Here is a 22,544-nt window from a genome sequence, read left to right on the forward strand (position 1 = left end):
ACACGGACCTCAAGGGGACATCCTAGTCTGTTTCATCCTCTTGGGTATCATTTATCTTCCACCATTATCTAAATATACTTTCTGTAAGGAAGACTTAATACCCTCCCTATCTTCTGCAGTACTTAGAGTGACCTAGATAATCACGGACATTTGCCAGTACTGTCATCCATGTGTGAATGGCCTCATAATATTAAGAGGTAAGTGCTGCTTGGCTTTTGAGTATTTGTTTTCTTAAAACTGAGGCTACGTATCAGGCATGTGTGTATACCAAATTAGAATGTCCTCTACAATAATTGTATGGTTAGAACATAACTGCACTCAGTGTTTTATGTTTGGCAATAATAATGGCTAGCACATAATGGTCATCTCACTTAATGAGGTATGTACTGTATCTCCATTTTACAAATGAAAAAATCAAATCGCAAAGAGATTGAGCTTGTTGTTCAGGCTAAACAATTATAAAGTACTGCAGAGACAGACTTCCCCGGAAGCCATGGTAGACTATCCAGGGTCACTCCTTACACTACAATGATTATTAATTGGACCCTATTGGTTTAGGTAGGCCAAGTAGAGTTACTTCCCCTGAAATTCTCCTGTGAAAGAGATTCCTGTCTGAGTGTCTGCTGATCTTTTGAATGTGTGATTAGTGGGGTAGCCATTTTCTTCTTTGTGGACAAAGACAAGCAGAAAAGAAAAAAATTAAACACCTATGTGCCGGGCGCGGTGGCTCACGCCTGTAATCCCAGCACTTTGGGAGGCAGAGGCAGGCTGATCACCTCAGGTCAGGAGTTTGAGACCACCCTGGCCAACATGGTGAAACCCCATCTCTACTAAAAATACAAAAGTTAGCCAGGCACGGTGGCAGGTACCTGTAATCCCAGCTACTCAGGAGGCTGAGGCAGGAAAATTGCTTGAACCCAGGAGGCGGAGGTTGCAGTGAGCCGAGATCGTGCCACTGTACTCCAGCCTGAGCATCAGAGCCAGACTGCATCTCAAAAAAAAAAAAAAAAAAAGTGATGATAAACAATGAAAAGACTTTTAATTGTGACATGCAAATTCCTAATTTCTGCTCCTGTGTTGCAAGGCATACTCATACATTCTCATAATATAATAAATCCTCCCACATTTTTTTTTGGCTTGAGTAAGTTAGCATTGCTTTCTATTATATGCAATCAAACATTTTCTAATTAATATTCTAGGGGTACCTCATTCTTTATTTGCCCTATATTATATGGTGTTTTCTTCATATCTGCTTCTTCAGCTTCTTATTCAAAAACAAACAAACAACAACAAAAGAGGGAGTTAACAGGCCCCTCCAGATCTCTGAAAGAAGAGGTTTCCATATATAACATCTTATGGAAAAGAGATCTTCACTTAAGAAATGTATAATTGTTTGTAATTTAAATTTTCAGAATAAAATTTTCAACAGGGCATAGCATTACATTTTACAAATTCAGGGAAGTGATATAGGAAAATTATACTAAAGGATTTGTCGGTGTTTCATACAACTATTAATGAGAGTTATTTCAGTACTCTGTTTAAAAATTCAATTGCAAATAAAGACAAGTAGCTAAGCAAAGCATTGACTGTGGTTTAAGGCAAGGATTTCGCTTGGAACCAGATGGCCTGAAGAAGAAAACTGTAGGGCAAAACCATAAATCATAACAGAAGAAGACAAAGAGGACAAGGAAGCAAGTCAAAGAGGGTAAAAGAGGTTGGGTAACAAAAGATCCAAAAAGAAGCAAAAGAGAAGGGGTAAAAGGAAGGGCACAGTAATAAAGGGAAGGAGAGGTTTGCCAGCACAGTGCAACATGCCCAGAATACTAATGAAAAGCTGTAGCACTGGAGAGCCCAGAACCAAGGAGCAATGGTAAAAGGCCACACAACAGTTGGACAGTTTTTAAAAGTCGCATTGTGCCAGAGGCTTGTAGCAATTCCCATCCCAAGGATAGTCCTTTAAAATGTAAAGTACATGGTTTTCCTTAATTGGAAGTTATTCTTTAAAAGCAAGCTACAAAATTTAGAGAAGAAAAATGTGACAACAGAATGCAGTGAATGAAGTAAAGAAATGAAAGTCACCAGTGGGCAAAATTAATCAATTATCAAGTTGAGTGCGACCAGGAATTTTTCTTTTTTCTCTTTAGAAAATTTACTGATTCTTTCCAAATGACCTTGACTGCATGCTTCAGCATCGCTACATAACAATCTAATACTGAATGTCTGTACACAATTCATTTGATTGTTGTTCACTTCAGGTGTTATTTAAATGAGCCAAAAACAATATTTAAGTGAGCTGTGTCCTTGAAGAGACAGGTTAAATTTGGATCAGAATTACCATGGAAAATATGAAAAAGCATAGGGCTTAAAAAATGGCCACTAGCAGTCAGGAAAACCATACCCCTGCTTCATCTAAGGGAGCAACAAAATAATTCTATACACATTGACATGGATATCAATCTTTACATTTCTCTCCTTATCTTTTCCACCTCTATTTACTCCCATGACTATCTTATCTATTGCAAGAGAATGAAGGTGCAAAGTCTCTATGTCCAGACCATATGTGATAATACAACTCTGACCTACAAATGATGTCCCGGAAGCCAAACCACAATCTCTGCAGCCATTCTTCCATAAAGGTCAGGACTTCGTCAACAAATCCTCCTTATTTTGGCGCCCTACTCCCATCCCTCACCTTTCCAACTCCAGACCAAACAGAGAGAGCCAAATAACCTAACCTGAAACCAATCACATAAGATGCTTCACTTCTAGTTAGCCTATCTCCAGCTTCCCTATGTTAACAACCACCAATCAGAGCTTATCTAGTGTCTCTCCCAAAATTTGCCCACACTTCCCTACCTGCCTTGAAGTCTGCAAAGCACAAGTGATGGTGGCTGACTTCCTTGATATAGTAAGCTCTGAATTAATGGCCTCTTTTTGTTCTTATTTGGGTAGTCATTATACAGTTCAACCAATGTTTGAGATTTAAATATTACATAGTGCTGATGACTCCCAATATCATATCTCTAGCCCATAATTCTCTCCCAGATGGCTGACTTCCTCCACAAAATTCACACTCAGAAATTTAATGGGTTCCTTAAACTTAACATGTCAAAAATACACCCCCACACTCCCTAAATGCTCCATCACTCTGATTTCTTAGGTCCAGTTTGTTATATAATTGTCGATTTCTCTCATTCTCACATGCCCTCCATCTAATTCAACAGCAAATTCTGTTGGCTCAACTTTCAAAAGATATCAAGAATTTTATTTAATTATGCTATTTTACCATTACCTACTTGGTTGATTGTCCAAGCTATTATCACCTCTCATCTGGATTAGTGTAATAGCCTTTTAATTGATCTCCCTGCTTCTACCCTAAGCCTGCTGTTGCCTATCAAGACCACAGCCAGAATGATCTTCTTAAAGTGTCAGTCAGTTTGGCACTTATTTTCTTCCCTTTTTACACAGAGTGAATGACAAGCTTTTAATTTTTTTCCCAAGATCCTACATGATTTCATCACCAACACCCTCCTTCTCCTAGTTACCTCCCAGCGACTATTGTTTAGACTGTGATAGGTACTTTTCAATGGCTAGAGGATGTTCTAGGATAGAGTGTGATTTTTTTCAAAGTGTTAAAGGATACATTTCAAAAGAGAGTATAATCATAACTTTAATAAAAGTATACAATAAACATGTTTCAGATAATTTGTTTACATCATTAACTCACAGTTGAACCAGTAATGAATGGGGTTCAAATGAAAATCAAAAGAGCAGAGGCATGTAAAGAGAATAAAGAATTCTGACACGCATTTACAAATAGAGGGGGAACAGAACTACCCAAAGGCAATAATCAATTTTATTCCCCTGGGACAATTAACTTACATCTCTAAGGAAAAGTATCATTTCCATTATTATCACTTTTCTACAGCCTGTAGAGTTGTAAAGTAGCCTAATATTAGGTTGGTGTTGGTTTAAAATAGCCTAATATTAGGTTTTGCATTAAAAGTAATGCCAAAAATCACAATTACTTTTGCATCAACGTATACAATGACAGGGAATAATGCTTCATATGGGTGAGCTAGATAGGATACTTGCCAATCTATTTCTATTTTTTTAGATTTAAAAATGTTTTACAAGTTTTCCTGTTAAAAGGAAGAGAGAGAGAGAAGGGAGAAAGAGGAGACATACACATTCCTACATTGGAAGGAACTGGATAATCTTTCTTTAAAATTTGAAAAAGGCAATATGGAACAGTCACCAAAATGTTCTGAAGGAGAAAGGTTGGAAGAATTCAGGAGAAAGAGTCAGAGTTGTAATAGGGAGGAAGCAGCATTGAAGACAAAGGGTGGTCTTGACAAACAAAAACTTTTAGTGACAAGTTGCACAATGTAAAGAAAAAGACATAAGGAAAAATGCAATTAGATGGTAAAAGAAGCATACAAACTCAGAGGGTAATAACAATGGATAAGTAAGTGAATCTGTTTAAAGCATAACATTAGAGTGAGAAGATCCAAGAATGCACTGTACACAAGTCCCTAGAGGCACACTAAGTCACTGTGACTCTCATGGCTCTGAAAATAAATTCTCATCTCTGTGAGGCCCAGATGTTTTAGGGCTTTGGTGGGATTTCTGCTCCACTTATTCCCCAAATTACCTCCAAATAATCTTGCAATGCTTGAAGTAGCTTGAATGAAAAGTTGTTTTTTCCTCCCTGCGTACCAAAGACCTCACATAAAGCACCATTCATGTTGGTATCCAATGTCTTGCACGATTCTTGAAGTGCAGTATGTTTTAAATAAATGTCTGGAGAACTAAACTAACTTGCATAGATTTAATCAACTTTCTCAGTTAGCCATTCTGGCTTTGAAAGACTGCTGATTATCTCAAATATTTTCATATTCACCAAAAACAAGAAGCTTCCATCCTACTTTATTAGCCTACTTGCTTGCCTTATTTCTGACAAATTCCTAAGTATTTGGATTGTTTTAAAAAATCTAAAACTGGAGCCAGGCAGTGGCTCATGCGCATAATCCAGGTGCTTTGAGAGGCTGAATTGGGAGGATTGCTTGAGGGCAGAAGCTCACCATCTTGGGCAACAACCTGGACAACATAGCTAGATTCCATTTCTACAAAACATTTTAAAAATTAGCCAGGTGTGTTGGCACACACCTGTAGTCCTAGCTACTTGGAAGAACGAGGAATATCCCCTGAGCCCAGTCCAAGGCTGCAGTGAGCTATGATCATGCCACTGCACACCAGCCAGGATGACAGAGTGAGCTCCTGTCTCAAAAAAGGTAAATTAAAATAAAATAAAAATTTTAAACCCTTAATAAGATCGTAATTTACACATTAAACTTATATTCTCTTCTAAATATAAGAGGAGAGTTCATGTTTTTAATTTGCTATCTGCTTAATAATGAAATTTAAGCCCCATTGTTCATTGCCTATCTTTCCTTCTATGCTTTCTTTTTCAAAAAAATAAAATGATAAAGAAGAGATTTACAGAAATTATTACACTAGTGGGGAAAAATGCCACTAGAGTCTGCTACAAAATATTGAATTTTAAGGGAAGTTAAATTAAAATATATTATATTTTTGTGGCCAAAATATTACTATGTTTGTGTGTGCCTATTATGGACGTATAGAGAGATAGATATAGGCATAGACTTAGATATAGACTAGATATAGACACAGAGGCACACATATGATAAGTAAAACTAAATTATTATCCTCTCTCTCATCTTACATTCTTCCTTTCTCTTCCAAAAATGATGTTTGATATTGAAATTAATATAAACTAGGTACAAAATAAAAAGAATGCCTATGTTTCATTTTTTCCAGTGGGGTCTCAGTATTGAAGAATATCATATCTAAATTAAATGATGTTAAGGCATACGTAAACTTAGAGACTACAGAAGTCTCTAGTAGTAGTTCACTTCTAAGATGTCGTAGTGGCAAAGAGCTCATTGTATTGAGAGACAGCCATTGTATTTACTGATGAATATAAGTATTATAAATTTATTTTATTTCAAAATATGTCTCTCCATACTTTCATTTAACATATGCCTCCTCACACCAACTTGGTCATCCAGAGTAATAAAAAATAAACATAATCTCTATTTTTCATAATAAGCCTTTAGATATTTAATGATATTTGCCATAGCCTTCCTAAAGACATCTCAATGCTATTGACTATCCTTTGTACTATATGGTGTACATACTATTCACTACTTCAGTTATGCTGTTTGACAGCCCTGGTTTTGCCGCATTATTTTAAACTTAGGTTGTCAATCCCTCTAATAAACTTCCTTTGTACACTGGAGTTTCCAAATCATTTTTTGTTCCTCATTCAACATATACATTTTAATCTAGTTTTTGACTAATTAGGAAGGTATTCCAGCAGTTAGCATGCTGAGAATTTGCTGAAATTTAAAAAAATGTATCCGTTTCCGAATGTTGTTTACTAAAATCATAGTAGTGCTGACCATAATTATTAGTTTTAGTGAACCCAGGCTGGCTCCAGGTGATCTTTCTTTCCTAAGTGGTCATGAAATTCTGGATTCACAGGGATTCTATTTTTTGGCATTGAGTTATTGTTTCTGCTGTTGACCCTTATGCAAATGAGCACATTTACCTAACTTTAATCTCTCAGTTCTGTTCCTCTCCTACTGATTTCCAGACTAAGAATGCCTTCAAATAACCAAGTATATAATTGTCTGATTCTGGAAACAAAATCTTTCTGTAGTAATCCATTACTCTAATATTATTTTCCTACTTAGACTTTGACTCCATCATATCTTTCTTTCCTTTGCAGTCAATTCTTTTTGATAAAGGTCCTTGATACCACCTTATACCTATTTTCTGCTCTTCTTTTTGATTTTTAATTCACTTTATGTGTTCTGGTTCTTTTACCTGATTCCAAAATGTTAGCTTTTTGCCAGATTTTTATTCTTTCACATAGTTTCTGTCCATGGTGTTTTTTTCTTCTTGTAATAATCACTTAATTTTCATAAATTATCATTTATTCCCTGATGACATATATTTGTATGATCAGTCTAGATAGCTGTTCTGAGCTCTTAGTCTATAAATTTTTCTGCTTCATAGACATGGATATCTATGAAATATCAACTTGGAGGTCCCAGAAAGATCTCATATCTAACATGCCTATAGCAGACTCATTATCTCCCCAAATTTGTTCCTCTTCTTGTGTTTCTTTGGTGAGTGAAAGATGATGGTATCACATCCTTCCCAGCCAAATGATTCCCAAATTAAAAACTCTGCTAAGGCATGTTTAATCCTCCATTTCTTTGAGGCTCAAAATTCATCATAAATTCCTCTTGGATCAGGCTCTTATTATTTTACTACAGTTAGTACAATAGACAATCAAGTACCCTCCTGACTTTTAGTCATGTGCATCTATACTACTATGCATGTAGTTTTAAAAATTCATATATTTTGCTTCCAGAGACATGTTCATAAATTGTAAATCGATTTGTTTTACTCCCCTATTTAACAATCTTTATACCTTCCTCTTAGCTTCAGTAGGAAGTCCAAACTTCTCAAAATGTTTTACAAAGTTTCTGATGATTGTTTTAGCCTTTATTTTCAGCTGTCTACCCTCATCCCCAACTTCTATACACCTTCCTTCCTGTCACACTGACCAAGGCACTATTTATTCTAGTTAGCAGCTTACATTGCTATTGTTGCTCCTTCTGTGTGAGAAAACTCTTTTGACCATCTACTAGGCCAATTTTGCCTAGCTAATTCCTACTGCTTTTTCAAGGTTAACTCAGAAATAGCTCCTCCATGAAGCATTTCCTGAAATGTCTTGACTTTTATGCATTGATGATCCTCTATCCTAATCAAGATTTCCACATGTATCACAATGTGCTAAGTCAGACCATTTTACATGTTTGACTTCCCAGAGTAGACTATAGAATACTTGAGAGCAGAAAACCTGACATCTTTTTCCATCTTTGCCCCTAAAACCACAAAGTCTGTAGAATAATATATGTTTAACAAAAGTTTTCTGAATGACTGTGATACACTTATTTTGTATTTATTTCCTTTTAAAAATATTTAACCATCTACAGTGGGCCTATAGCCCCATTATACTACTTCTGTAGAGACAGGATTTTCTGTATAGTCAATAAAATTCAAATCACTTGATTAATTCTACTGACAAGATTTTATATATGCATTCATTTTTTTCATATCCTGGAATCTTTCTTTTTCTTCTTTTATTTCCACTTTTCTTTTAAACTGAAGATATTGACAAGCTTTCCTGTCATTTAAAAATATTTGATAGCTATACTTTTTCATAGCATGTTTGCAAATTTTATAATTAAAATCAATTGTTATTTTAATCTTCTACTGCATACTGTCTGTGACGAAATGTGGTCAACAATCTTGGACTCATTTTGCTTTTTCTCATAATCTAGTGAACTACTACTACACAGTTTGCATATCTCAGCTCTAACATCTCTTCCTCTAGAAAATATCACTTGCCTTTGTTTTGATCTGTATTCCTTTAATATAGACTCCCAGGGCACCATGTACCAGTCATCACAGTCAAAACTGTATACTATACAATCACTAACATTTGCATTCCATGAGGGTGGAGCATATGTATATATCATCTCATCATTTTATATCCTGCACCTCACATAATGACTGACATAACAGGTGCACATATAATATATATTTCCTTTTTTTTTTTTTTTGAGACAGAGTCTTGCTTTGTCACCCAGGCTGAAGTGCAGTGGCACAATTATAGCTCACTGCGTCCTTGACATTGCAGGCTCAAGTGATCCTCCTGCCTCAGCCTCCTGAGTAAGTAAGTCTAAAGGAACTTGCTATCATGCCTGGCTGTTTTTTTGTTTTTGTTTTTTTGTGTGTGTGTGTTTTTTTTTTGTTTGTTTCTTTTTTTTTGTGGAGACAGAGGTCTCACTATGCTGCCGAGGCTGTCTCAAACTTCTGGCTTTAAGCTATCTTCCTGCCTCGGCCTCCCAAAACACTGGGATAACAGGCTGAACTATCAGGCCCAGGCGTATAATATATATTTCTTTATTCAAAGACTAAATAAATATAAATCCACAGGGGAATGGTTAAATTTGACTTCACACAATCTGTAGATTTAGAAAAGAATCATTCGAAGAGAATGATGGGTTATTTCTCAAGTCTATGGAAGAGGAAATGATGACAATCAGAGGCATAAATCTCGATTAGAGGTTTAGTTTATTTCCAATGAGAAGGTTTAGAAAATAAAATAACTCACTAAGGAAGCTTACGGAATTTCTTCAGCACAAACTCATGGTTATATAAAGGATTGGTGTCAAAGTCAGACATTTTGTATACAATTTTTGCATGAATATGGTTCTAATGAAAACAGAGATGGCTTTCTATGGTTACTTTTAGCCTTTAGATTTTGAACTAAATTTATTTTACTTGTGATTAAAGAGTTCTTGAATTGTGTGCTCAGATAATACTCCATATTGTATCATTAGCCTAATAAAGTAACACTTTGTGTTTCCTATACAATAAAATGAAAATTATCTATATGGTATTAAGTTTACAAATATGTTTCCCAAGCAAGAGCATGATGGATTATAGTCCCACTGAACATTCAATATTAGCTCTTGCATGGAAAGAAAAAGAAAATTCACTTTGAACTGAATTTAGATAAACATATCTCATAAGTGAATCAACTTTCAATAATTCACAGCAGTAAAGCCCAAAATAAAGGAGATATATTATAAATACCATACCTCAAACCAAGACTGGCATCATCATAATATTAAATTATACATTCTATTTATCAACAAATTTCCCTTCCATTGCTTTTCTCTAAAACACAATTTAAAGTATTTTGTATCACTATTAAATAAAATTGATATACTGTATCATGACAAATAGACTCTGCTATATTTCTTAAAACATTTGATGTCACTGTTTATTTTTTGTGGACCATAAGAACCTCATCATATGTGGAAGGCTATAAGCAAGAGTACATTGGCTTTGAAAGTAAAAATACATTAAAAATAATTTTGACATGTATTTTCCTTCCATATTCAAGATATGCTTTTGATTTCACAGCAAAATTCAATATTTGGTTTTATTATTAGGCAATAGTATTTTAAATTTATTTTTATTTTTAAAAACTTTCTTTGATATACAATAGTTGTATGTATTCTTGGAATACATGTCATATTTTGATACCTGTGTAAGATGTGTCAGGATCAAATCAGGGTAATTGAGGTAGGTTTTACCTCTTATAATTTTCTTTCTATGGGAACATTATAAATCTTCTAATCCAGCTATTTTGAAATATACAGTAAATTATTGTTAACTATAGCTTTCCTACTGTACTGTTGAAAACTTATTAAAACTCAACATACTACTATTATCTGTGATATAATGTAAAATTTAACATATATATTGACCTGACTCAAATAATATTTACATGTGTCTACAAGGGCCTTGCCAAGCTTGGAAAATTATTAATTCAATAATTAGCTTCTATTTGAGCTAAAAGAAAAAATATTACCACCCCAAAGAGAATCTAATTTACAAAATAAGATTATTTCCCAAAGGTATTAAAGCCAAATTTCCAAATCCTAAATATCTACCAAGTACTTTCATTGGCTTGTTTCCTTTTCTTACCTGTGTAAGAGCTGCTTTTTTAAATTTCTGCTGACTTGCTTATATCTCCAAATTATGTTCATGTAAGGCTCATTGAGCCACAGAACCTAAGACAGGCTCATTTAAAACTACCATTTTTTTTGCAGATAGAAAAATACATGAAAAATTAGACTATTAAGATTTTTAATTGTCTCACAACTTCAAAATATTCCCCAACCTGGGATCTATGAGAGATATTTTATGGCAGATACTAATTATTGATATTTTACCTACTTAGTTCTAAGAGCTTCCTTTACACCAGCTTGGACATATATACACACAGATGTATATTCACATGCACATGTATGACCCTGCTATCTCTGATAATAAAATGGAAATTTATATTTTAAGCATATATGTTTATATTTTACTAAATTACGTATTTTAACAGCAACAAGTGTTGGGTCCACCATTGAGAAAACAAATAAAGCTGTATAAACTGTGATGTAGATCATTATCCTATAAAGATTTCAGACCTGGCTCTGTGGCTTTGAATCTAACCTTGAAAATCCTCTGCATATAATTTTATAAACTTAGTCATTAGGGAGTGTTTTCATTTACATAATTATCCTCCAGGATATTTCCATCTCTCAAAATGTCCCTTTAACCATGACATCAATAGGATAGAAACTTAGAACTCCTCCTTACTGTTTTATTAGGTGTAGCCACAAATTATTCCTGTCACATTTTTAAATTTTAAAAAGTGCTACTCAATCACCTTTAGTTAATTATTTAGATCACCTTCCTCCACACTAATTATTTTTGATGGATAAATTTATTAATCTTTTAACTAAAAACACACAAAGTACAAACCAATGACAAGAATTCATTCCCTAGTTTGGCAGGTATAAGCTGTAGAATATACGTTCATATGCTACAAATGAACAATCATGTAGCTAGTTGAATTTCCATATAGATCTCAATTTCTCTGGAAAATCTGTTAAGTGGCATCCAAACATTTATTGGTAAAATGGTTTTAAGATTAGTGGCATTTTCATATATAGAAAAATGTATAAAGGTAGGCTTTTTTTTTTTTTACGACATTAACACTTTGAAGGCCACAAAGCTGTCTATCTTACAGGTGTCTTTATAATATTGACTATTAAAGACTGTACTTTGAAAAATGTCACCAAAATAACAAGATTTTGTATTCATATTCTTACTTTTTGTTACTTTGCTAGTCACTTTACTGAGTTCTTATGAAATAACAATGCAATGAAAACAGAACACATCAACCTATTTGTATTCAGACTATATATCTGTGCAGTAGGTAATTTGGCTTTGCCCCGGAGAGGTCTGGCCTTTTCCCTTGGCTTTAGGGAGATAATTCATGCCATACCCAATAGAGTATTTTTGCTTAGGTCAGGGGCTGGCCACTCTGGATCTTATGGTAAGATTTCCCACACTAAACAGTCTTTGGATATTGGCTAGTTATACCAGAAAAATAAACCATATGATTTTAGGGTAGGGGCTTTGGGTCACATGATGTAAATTGACTTGGAACTGAGTTTAAGCATGTGGGCATTTAATCAATTAATCAGTTATGCCTACATAATGAAAGCCCAATAAAATATCTGGATAGCAAAGCTTGGGTGAGCTTCCCTGGTTGGCAGTACTCATTGCATACTGTCATACCTTGTTGACAGGAGGGTAATACATCATGACAATAATTGAAGTTTTAAGTTTGGAGCTTTTCTAGATTCAGCTCTATGCATTTCTTCCTTTGACTAATTTTAGTGTATCTTTTCCCTGTAATAAACAGTAATTGTGAGCTTCGTGGAGTTCTTTAAGTCCTTCTAGTAAATTATTGTACCTGAGAGGGATCTTGTGAACCCTGCAAATTTGCAATTGGTGTCAGAAATGAAGGCTTTCTTAACGACTGTGTCCTCAGATTTTGCAATTTGGCTAACTCTGGGTAACAACTAAGTGTCAAGCTTCCAGCACATTCATTTTCTACACTAGACGTCAATATTAATCAATGTCTACCTCTTCTAAGTTTCAAATTTTTGATGAATAATCAAAATGTGTATGTGGTTAAATAAATAGCAGCTCTATTCATGTAGCACTAACTATAGGCTAGGTACTGCCTATATATTCTATGTCTCATATCTCATATCAGGCTGTGAAATACACATTGTTATATATATTTTCCAAGTGGAAGAGAAATAAATGACTTATACAGCACTTAGTATGTACTAAAGCCAAAATTCAAAAGCAACTCCATTATGAATCCCATGCTCAAAACTACTACCGAACGCAGTTGGTCCTTGTTAACATAGCTCTCAAACCTATTTTGAGGCTGAGTTGATTAAGGCAGACATATCTTACGACTAGAACAGTATGTACATGTTGATTAACATGATTTGTTAAAATACGAGGAATAGCTTGTTCAGTCACATGAATATATATAGTACTGGGTGCTGTTCATAACCTCAAAATATTAGATAGTTGTTCACTGAAAAGTTATATCTACAACAGATTGTGCTATTGACTTCTCAAAATTTCAAAAGAGTATCAGCTAATTAGGGCAGCTGAGAAATCTCCACATATTCCACTACCTTCCTTTGACACATATGCTGACTGGATGCTACAAAATATAATGTAAAGTTTAACTATCAAACACTTGCAAAATCTTGTATTTCTAAAGCATATGCTGTTAAAATAAGGAGAGGTTTCAAATTAATGAAATAGAGAGATTTGTGAGACTTAGAATTTATCTCACAAACTAAAGATTGGGTACACTTTGTTCACAAACACAAGGATATACCATATCACATACATTTACACAGACAGATGTATATATAACCCTATATATATAGAAATATGTGAGGCTTAGGCAAAGTAAATTTAATAGAATCATAAATCTTAAATATGAGCACATTTAGAAAATATGCCAGGTATGAAGGAACTGTGTTTTAAAAAAAAGCAACAAAATTAGAGTCAGAATTTCATGAAACAGAATCAGAGATATGTCACTGTGTGAATTTGGTCTTATCTTTGCACGTAGTATTAATAATTTTAAAGATTAGGCCGGGCACAGTGGCTCATGCCTGCAATCCCAGCACTTTGGGAGGGTGAGGTGGGCAAATCACCTGAGGTAAGGAGTTCAAGACCAGCCTGGCCAACATGGTGAAACCTTGTCTCTACTAAAAATACAAAAATTAGCTGGGTGTGGTGGTGCACGCCTGTAATCCCATCTACTCAGGAGGCTGAGGCACAAGAATTGCTTGAATCCAGGAGGCAGAGGTTGCAGTGAGCTGAGATTGTGCCACTGCACTCCAGCCTGGATGACAGAGTGAGATTCTGTCTCAAAAAAAAAAAATTAAAGATTAAAGAAGACATGATATATGTGAAAATATTCAGTTCATATGCTGGAACACTGTACTTATTCAATAAAAGTTAACTGAGTATATTTAAATATTGATTCATGTATCTTTCATTATCTATTAATTAAATACAGCATACTATGATAATTAATATATTTATGATACTTATTTTCTTATGCCTGAACTTTGGTCTTAGTTATGGGCTGAATTCTATCTCCCCAATTGCATATGTTGAAGCCCTAACCCCCCATAGCTCAGCTGTGACTATTTTGGCTAAAGGACCTTTAAAGAGGTGATTAAGTTAGGATGATGCTATAAGGCTGGGTCCTAATCCAATCCGATGTCTGTAGATAGACCCAGCTTGGTCACCCAAAGGGACACCAGGTATGCACATTCACAGAGGAAAGAACATGTGAGGACACAGGGAAAAGAAGGTGCCCACAGGCCAGCCAAGGAGAGAGACCTGGAGAAACCAAATATACCCATACCTCGACCTTGGACTTCTAGTCTCAAGAACTGTTAGAAAATAAATTTCTGTTGTTTAAGCCACCCAGTCTTCTTTTAGATTTTGTTATTGTGACATTTTACTATGGCAGCCCTAGCAAACGAATATAGCCTTCTAATAAAAAACAAAGTTTTCAGGGTGATACTTAATTGACAGCACAATTGCTTGTTCAGGCATTGAAAACTGGTCATTGCAACATTTTTAAATGTCCTCAAGCATGGATTTCATAATATGAATAGGTAAGTCTGTTTTTATCTTGAAGATGCTTACAAGAGTCTCATTTCTATGTGTATTCTCCCATTTCTGAAACATACACTTCCTTTACACCTATCTGAATCCAATCTGTCATGCAGAAACTAGCTCTCTTCATAAAGACTTAACTAACAACTCTATCTTCCAGAGATCTTTCCCCCGATTCAACCCTTAACTGCCACCTTCTTTATCAGGCAACTTCGCAGGATCATTTGTCTTACTTATAAAGCCATATAAAATATACGTTCCTGAGGGGAAAAAAACAGTGTAGCCTCTATTTTTTCCATCTCCCATGAAACGCAGGGTAGTGCCTTGAATAAAATAAGCACAAAAATAATGTGGAGTTAATAAATCATTTTGATAAAATGCAAGTGAGAAGATGTAATAATTTTTATCTTATATTTATTCATCAAATAATAATTGTTTTAGAAAGGTTGCACTAAGTTAAAACATGTATTTGTTCTCTATTTCTATTTTTCATATAAAAACACGTGATTGCTTGCATTTTGGTTTTGTCTGGTTTCTGCCATGCCATTAGCATGGTAATTTAAGGTTGATAAATTTAGCCCTTGTGCAGTTTTTCAGCCCTTAGCAATAGACCACTGGTTCTTGAAACTTTCTTTCTCAATATCTCTTTCAGAACTTAATTAAAAGTTATTGGTGGTTCTCACCAAAAGTGGGCTACCCACATGAGTTGGCAGTCTATTTACTTTTGTTGAATTAATGTAAATTAAAATTTGGAAGAGGGGGGAGGAGCCAAGATGGCCGAATAGGAACAGCTCCGGTCTACAGCTCCCAGCGTGAGCGACGCAGAAGACGGGTGATTTCTGCATTTCCATCTGAGGTACCGGGTTCATCTCACTAGGGAGTGCCAGACAGTGGGCGCAGGCCAGTGGGTGCGCGCACCGTGCACGAGCCGAAGCCGGGCAAGGCATTGCCTCACCTGGGAAGCACAAGGGGTCAGGGAGTTCCCTTTCCGAGTCAAAGAAAGGGGTGACGGACGCACCTGGAAAATCGGGCCACTCCCACCCGAATATTGCGCTTTTCAGACCGGCTTAGAAAATGGCGCACCACGAGACTATATCCCACACCTGGCTCGGAGGGTCCTACGCCCATGGAATCTCGTTGATTGCTAGCACAGCAGTCTGAGATCAAACTGCAAGGCGGCAGCGAGGCTGGGGGAGGGGCGCCCGCCATTGCCCAGGCTTGCTTAGGTAAACAAAGCAGCCAGGAAGCTCGAACTGGGTGGAGCCCACCACAGCTCAAGGAGGCCTGCCTGCCTCTGTAGCCTCCACCTCTGGGGGCAGGGCACAGACAAACAAAAAGACAGCAGTAACCTCTGCAGACTTAAATGTCCCTGACAGCTTTGAAGAGAGCAGTGGTTCTCCCAGCACGCAGCTGGAGATCTGAGAACGGGCAGACGGCCTCCTCAAGTGGGTCCCTGACCCCTGACCCCCGAGCAGCCTAACTGGGAGGCACCCCCCAGCAGGGGCACACTGACACCTCACACGGCAGGGTATTCCAACAGACCTGCAGCTGAGGGTGCTGTCTGTTAGAAGGAAAACTAACAAACAGAAAGGACATCCACACCGAAAACCCATCTGTACATCACCATCATCAAAGACCAAAAGTAGATAAAACCACAAAGATGGGGAAAAAACAGGACAGAAAAACTGGAAACTGTAAAACGCAGAGCGCCTCTCCTCCTCCAAAGGAACGCAGTTCCTCACCAGCAACGGAACAAAGCTGGATGGAGAATGACTTTGACGAGCTGAGAGAAGAAGGCTTCAGACGATCAAATTACTCTGAGCTACGGGAGGACATTCAAACGAAAGGCAAAGAAGTTGAAAACTTTGAAAAAAATTTAGAAGAATGTATAACTAGAAGAACCAATACAGAGAAGTGCTTAAAGGAGCTGATGGAGCTGAAAACCAAGGCTCGAGAACTACGTGAAGAATGCAGAAGCCTCAGGAGCCGATGAGATCAACTGGAAGACAGGGTATCAGCAATGGAAGACGAAATGAATGAAATGAAGCGAGAAGGGAAGTTCAGAGAAAAAAAATAAAAAGAAATGAGCAAAGCCTCCAAGAAATATGGGACTATGTGAAAAGACCAAATCTACGTCTGATTGGTGTACCTGAAAGTGATGCGGAGAATGGAACCAAGTTGGAAAACACTCTACAGGATATTATCCAGGAGAACTTCCCCAATCTAGCAAGGCAGGCCAACGTTCAGATTCAGGAAATACAGAGAACGCCACAAAGATACTCCTCGAGAAGAGCAACTCCAAGACACATAATTGTCAGATTCACCAAAGTTGAAATGAAGGAAAAAATGTTAAGGGCAGCCAGAGAGAAAGGTCGGGTTACCCTCAAAGGGAAGCCCATCAGACTAACAGCGGATCTCTCGGCAGAAACCCTACAAGCTAGAAGAGAGTGGGGGCCAATATTCAACATTCTTAAAGAAAAGAATTTTCAACCCAGAATTTCATATCCAGCCAAACTAAGCTTCATAAGTGAAGGAGAAATAAAATACTTTACAGACAAGCAAATGCTGAGAGATTTTGTCACCACCAGGCCTGCCCTAAAAGAGCTCCTGAAGGAAGCGCTAAGCATGGAAAGGAACAACCGGTACCAGCCGCTGCAAAATCATGCCAAAATATAAAGACCATAGAGACTAGGAAGAAACTGCATCAACTAACGAGCAAAATCACCAGCTAACATCATAATGACAGGATCAAATTCACACATAACAATATTAACTTTAAATGTAAATGGACTAAATTCTCCAATTAAAAGACACAGACTGGCAAGTTGGATAAAGAGTCAAGACCCATCAGTGTGCTGTATTCAGGAATCCCATCTCACGTGCAGAGACACACATAGGCTCAAAATAAAAGGATGGAGGAAGATCTACCAAGCAAATGGAAAACAAAAAAGGCAGGGTTTGCAATCCTAGTCTCTGATAAAACAGACTTTAAACCAACAAAGATCAAAAGAGACAAAGAAGGCCATTACATAATGGTAAAGGGATCAATTCAACAAGAGGAGCTAACTATCCTAAATATATATGCACCCAATACAGGAGCACCCAGATTCATAAAGCAAGTCCTGAGTGACCTACAAAGAGACTTAGACTCCCACACATTAATAATGGGAGACTTTAACACCCCACTGTCAACATTAGACAGATCAACGAGACAGAAAGTCAACAAGGATACCCAGGAATTGAATTCAGCTCTGCACCAAGCGGACCTAATAGACATCTACAGAACTCTCCACCCCAAATCAACAGAATATACATTTTTTCAGCACCACACCACACCTATTCCAAAATTGACCACATAGTTGGAAGTAAAGCTCTCCTCAGCAAATGTAAAAGAACAGAAATTATAACAAACTATCTCTCAGACCACAGTGCAATCAAACTAGAACTCAGGATTAAGAATTTCACTCAAAGCCGCTCAACTACATGGAAACTGAACAACCTGCTCCTGAATGACTACTGGGTACATAACGAAATGAAGGCAGAAATAAAGATGTTCTTTGAAACCAACGAGAACAAAGACACAACATACCAGAATCTCTGGGACGCATTCAAAGCAGTGTGTAGAGGGAAATTTATAGCACTAAATGCCCACAAGAGAAAGCAGGAAAGATCCAAAATTGACACCCTAACATCACAATTAAAAGAACTAGAAAAGCAAGAGCAAACACATTCAAAAGCTAGCAGAAGGCAAGAAATAACTAAAATCAGAGCAGAACTGAAGGAAATAGAGACACAAAAAACCCTTCAAAAAATTAATGAATCCAGGAGCTGGTTTTTTGAAAGGATCACCAAAAGTGATAGGCCGCTAGCAAGACTAATAAAGAAAAAAAGAGAGAAGAATCAAATAGACACAATAAAAAATGATAAAGGGGATATCACCACTGATCCCACAGAAATACAAACTACCATCAGAGAATACTACAAACAACTCTATGCAAATAAACTAGAAAATCTAGAAGAAATGAATAAATTCCTCGACACATACACTCTCCCAAGACTAAACCAGGAAGAAGTTGAATCTCTGAATAGACCAATAACAGGATCTGAAATTGTGGCAATAATCAATAGTTTACCAACCAAAAAGAGTCCAGGACCAGATGGATTCACAGCCGAATTCTACCAGAGGTACAAGGAGGAACTGGTACCATTCCTTCTGAAACTATTCCAATCAATAGAAAAAGAGGGAATCCTCCCTAACTCATTTTATGAGGCCAGCATCATTCTGATACCAAAGCCGGGCAGAGACACAACCAAAAAAGAGAATTTTAGACCAATATCCTTGATGAACATTGATGCAAAAATCCTCAATAAAATACTGGCAAACCGAATCCAGCAGCACATCAAAAAGCTTATCCACCATGATCAAGTGGGCTTCATCCCTGGGATGCAAGGCTGGTTCAATATACGCAAATCAATAAATGTAATCCAGCATATAAACAGAGCCAAAGACAAAAACCACATGATTATCTCAATAGATGCAGAAAAAGCCTTTGACAAAATTCAACAACCCTTCATGCTAAAAACTCTCAATAAATTAGGTACTGATGGGACATATCTCAAAATAATAAGAGCTATCTATGACAAACCCACAGCCAATATCATACTGAATGGGCAAAAACTGGAAGCATTCCCTTTGAAAACTGGCACAAGACAGGGATGCCCTCTCTCACCGCTCCTATTCAACATAGTGTTGGAAGTTCTGGCCAGGGCAATCAGGCAGGAGAAGGAAATAAAGGGTATTCAATTAGGAAAAGAGGAAGTCAAATTGTCCCTGTTTGCAGACGACATGATTGTTTATCTAGAAAACCCCATTGTCTCAGCCCAAAATCTCCTTAAGCTGATAAGCAACTTCAGCAAAGTCTCAGGATACAAAATCAATGTACAAAAATCACAAGCATTCTTATACACCAACAACAGACAAACAGAGAGCCAAATCATGAGTGAACTCCCATTCACAATTGCTTCAAAGAGAATAAAATACCTAGGAATCCAACTTACAAGGGATGTGAAGGACCTCTTCAAGGAGAACTACAAACCACTGCTCACGGAAATAAAAGAGGATACAAACAAATGGAAGAACATTCCATGCTCATGGGTAGGAAGAATCAATATCGTGAAAACGGCCATACTGCCCAAGGTAATTTATAGAGTCAATGCCATCCCCATCAAGCTACCAATGACTGTCTTCACAGAATTGGAAAAAACTACTTTAAAGTTCATATGGAACCAAAAAAGAGCCCGCATTGCCAAGTCAATCCTAAGCCAAAAGAACAAAGCTGGAGGCATCACACTACCTGACTTCAAACTATACTACAAGGCTACAGTAACCAAAACAGCATGGTACTGGTACCAAAACAGAGATATAGATCAATGGAACAGAACAGAGCCCTCAGAAATAACGCCGCATACCTACAACTATCTGATCTTTGACAAACCTGAGAAAAACAAGCAATGGGGAAAGGATTCCCTATTTAATAAATGGTGCTGGGAAAACTGGCTAGCCATATGTAGAAAGCTGAAACTGGATCCCTTCCTTACACCTTATACAAAAATCAATTCAAGATGGATTAAAGATTTAAACGTTAGACCTAAAACCATAAAAACCCTAGAAGAAAACCTAGGCATTACCATTCAGGACATAGGCATGGGCAAGGACTTCATGTCCAAAACACCAAAAGCAATGGCAACAAAAGCTAAAATTGACAAATGGGATCTAATTAAACTAAAGAGCTTCTGCACAGCAAAAGAAACTACCATCAGAGTGAACAGGTAACCTACAACATGGGAGAAAATTTTCGCAACCTACTCATCTGACAAAGGGCTAATATCCAGAATCTACAATGAACTCAAACAAATTTACAAGAAAAAAACAAACAACCCCATCAAAAAGTGGGCGAAGGACATGAACAGACACTTCTCAAAAGAAGACATTTATGCAGCCAAAAGACACATGAAAAAATGCTCATCATCACTGGCCATCAGAGAAATGCAAATCAAAACCACTATGAGATATCATCTCACACCAGTTAGAATGGCAATCATTAAAAAGTCAGGAAACAACAGTTGCTGGAGAGGATGTGGAGAAATAGGAACACTTTTACACTGTTGGTGGGACTGTAAACTAGTTCAACCATTGTGGAAGTCAGTGTGGCGATTCCTCAGGGATCTAGAACTAGAAATACCATTTGACCCAGCCATCCCGTTACTGGGTATATACCCAAAGGACTATAAATCATGCTGCTATAAAGACACACGCACACGTATGTTTATTGCGGCATTATTCACAATAGCAAAGACTTGGAACCAACCCAAATGTCCAACAATGATAGACTGGATTAAGAAAATGTGGCACATATACACCATGGAATACTATGCAGCCATAAAAAATGATGAGTTCATGTCCTTTGTAGGGACATGGATGAAATTGGAAATCATCATTCTCAGTAAACTATCGCAAGAACAAAAAACCAAACACCGCATATTCTCACTCATAGGTGGGAATTGAACAATGAGATCACATGGACACATGAAGGGGAATATCACACTCTGGGGACTGTGGTGGGGTGGGGGGAGGGGGGAGGGATAGCATTGGGAGATACACCTAAGGCTAGATGACGAGTTAGTGGGTGCAGCGCACCAGCATGGCACATGTATACATATGTAACTAACCTGCACAATGTGCACATGTACCCTAAAACTTAAAGTATAATAAAAAAAAAAAAATTTGGAAGAGGTTAGTCAAAGGATACAAAATTTCAATTAGACAGGAGGAATAAGGCCAAGAGATCTATGGTGTAACATGGTGAATATAGTTAATAACAATGTATTGTATGCTCAAAAATTGCTAAGAGAGTAGATTTTAAGTGTTCTCACTATAAAAACAAATATGAGTAACACATATGTTAAATAGCTTGATCTAGCTATTCTGCAAAGCATACATATTCCAAAACACCATGTTATATACCATAAATACATACAATTTTAGTCGTAAATGAAAAACAACTAAGTTAAAAAATTGAAAATAATTTTAAAATTTATAAATTTTTAAAAACTTCTGTAAGAAAACAAAACACAAGTAGTGTCATGAGATATAACTTAAAGATGTATTAGACGTAATGCCTGCTCTTAAAATGGCTTAAAGTCTACTGGGAAAAATAGACATGTCTACACACACCCACATACCAAATTGAAAAAAAATGTAAATGGGAAAGGGCAGATGAGAAAGGCCATACGTGCATAAAAAGATGGCCAGAAGGTGTCCAACAAGGTTACTTGTATTATTCATGTGCTATTTAAAATCTTCTCGCAAAATCATGACTGGAATTAGAGAGCCCCACGCATCTGGGTAATGGAATTCTGACTGTCTCCACACTTCCAAAACTATAAACCCTTCTTTAAACGATCAACAATTCCTGGGACATGTATTTATTATTTTGTATTAATCAATTCACATATCCCTGGAGAAAGATACTTTATGACCAGATGAAGATTAAATAAGCCCGACAGAACCAAAATATTTATTTATGAAAAAGAATAAACCATCTCTATACATGGATCGCATGCATAAAACTATGCAGGTAGACTCTAAAGCATGACTTGAAGTAAAGGTTATCAGTGTTATCAGTGAATTTTTTAAAAATTTATTTATTTTGAAAAGTCCGAAACTAAATGAAAGGTACACGACCAATCTCTTGTCCTAAATATCATGTTTGTGTTAGCCTTCCAGCATCTAC

At 36.7% G+C, this 22,544-nt stretch overlaps 1 protein-coding gene across 5 annotated transcripts in view, besides 1 other annotated feature; it reads right to left on the bottom strand.

Moving 5' to 3' along the window:
* The window catches only part of PCDH9 (protocadherin 9), a 927,503-nt gene that overhangs the window by 419,140 nt on the left and 485,819 nt on the right, over positions 1-22,544 (bottom strand). The window lies entirely within an intron of this gene.
* Positions 15,752-16,358: an enhancer, noted in NCBI's record as "NANOG-H3K4me1 hESC enhancer chr13:67311857-67312463 (GRCh37/hg19 assembly coordinates)". NCBI's record gives its function as "activates a minimal SCP1, AML or CMV promoter by ChIP-STARR-seq in naive and primed H9 embryonic stem cells {active_cell/tissue: H9 hESC(naive and primed)}" and the evidence as "EXISTENCE:reporter gene assay evidence [ECO:0000049][PMID:30033119]".

The sequence above is a fragment of the Homo sapiens genome, chromosome 13 (genome assembly GCF_000001405.40).
Source record: "Homo sapiens chromosome 13, GRCh38.p14 Primary Assembly".
NCBI lineage: Eukaryota > Metazoa > Chordata > Mammalia > Primates > Hominidae > Homo > Homo sapiens.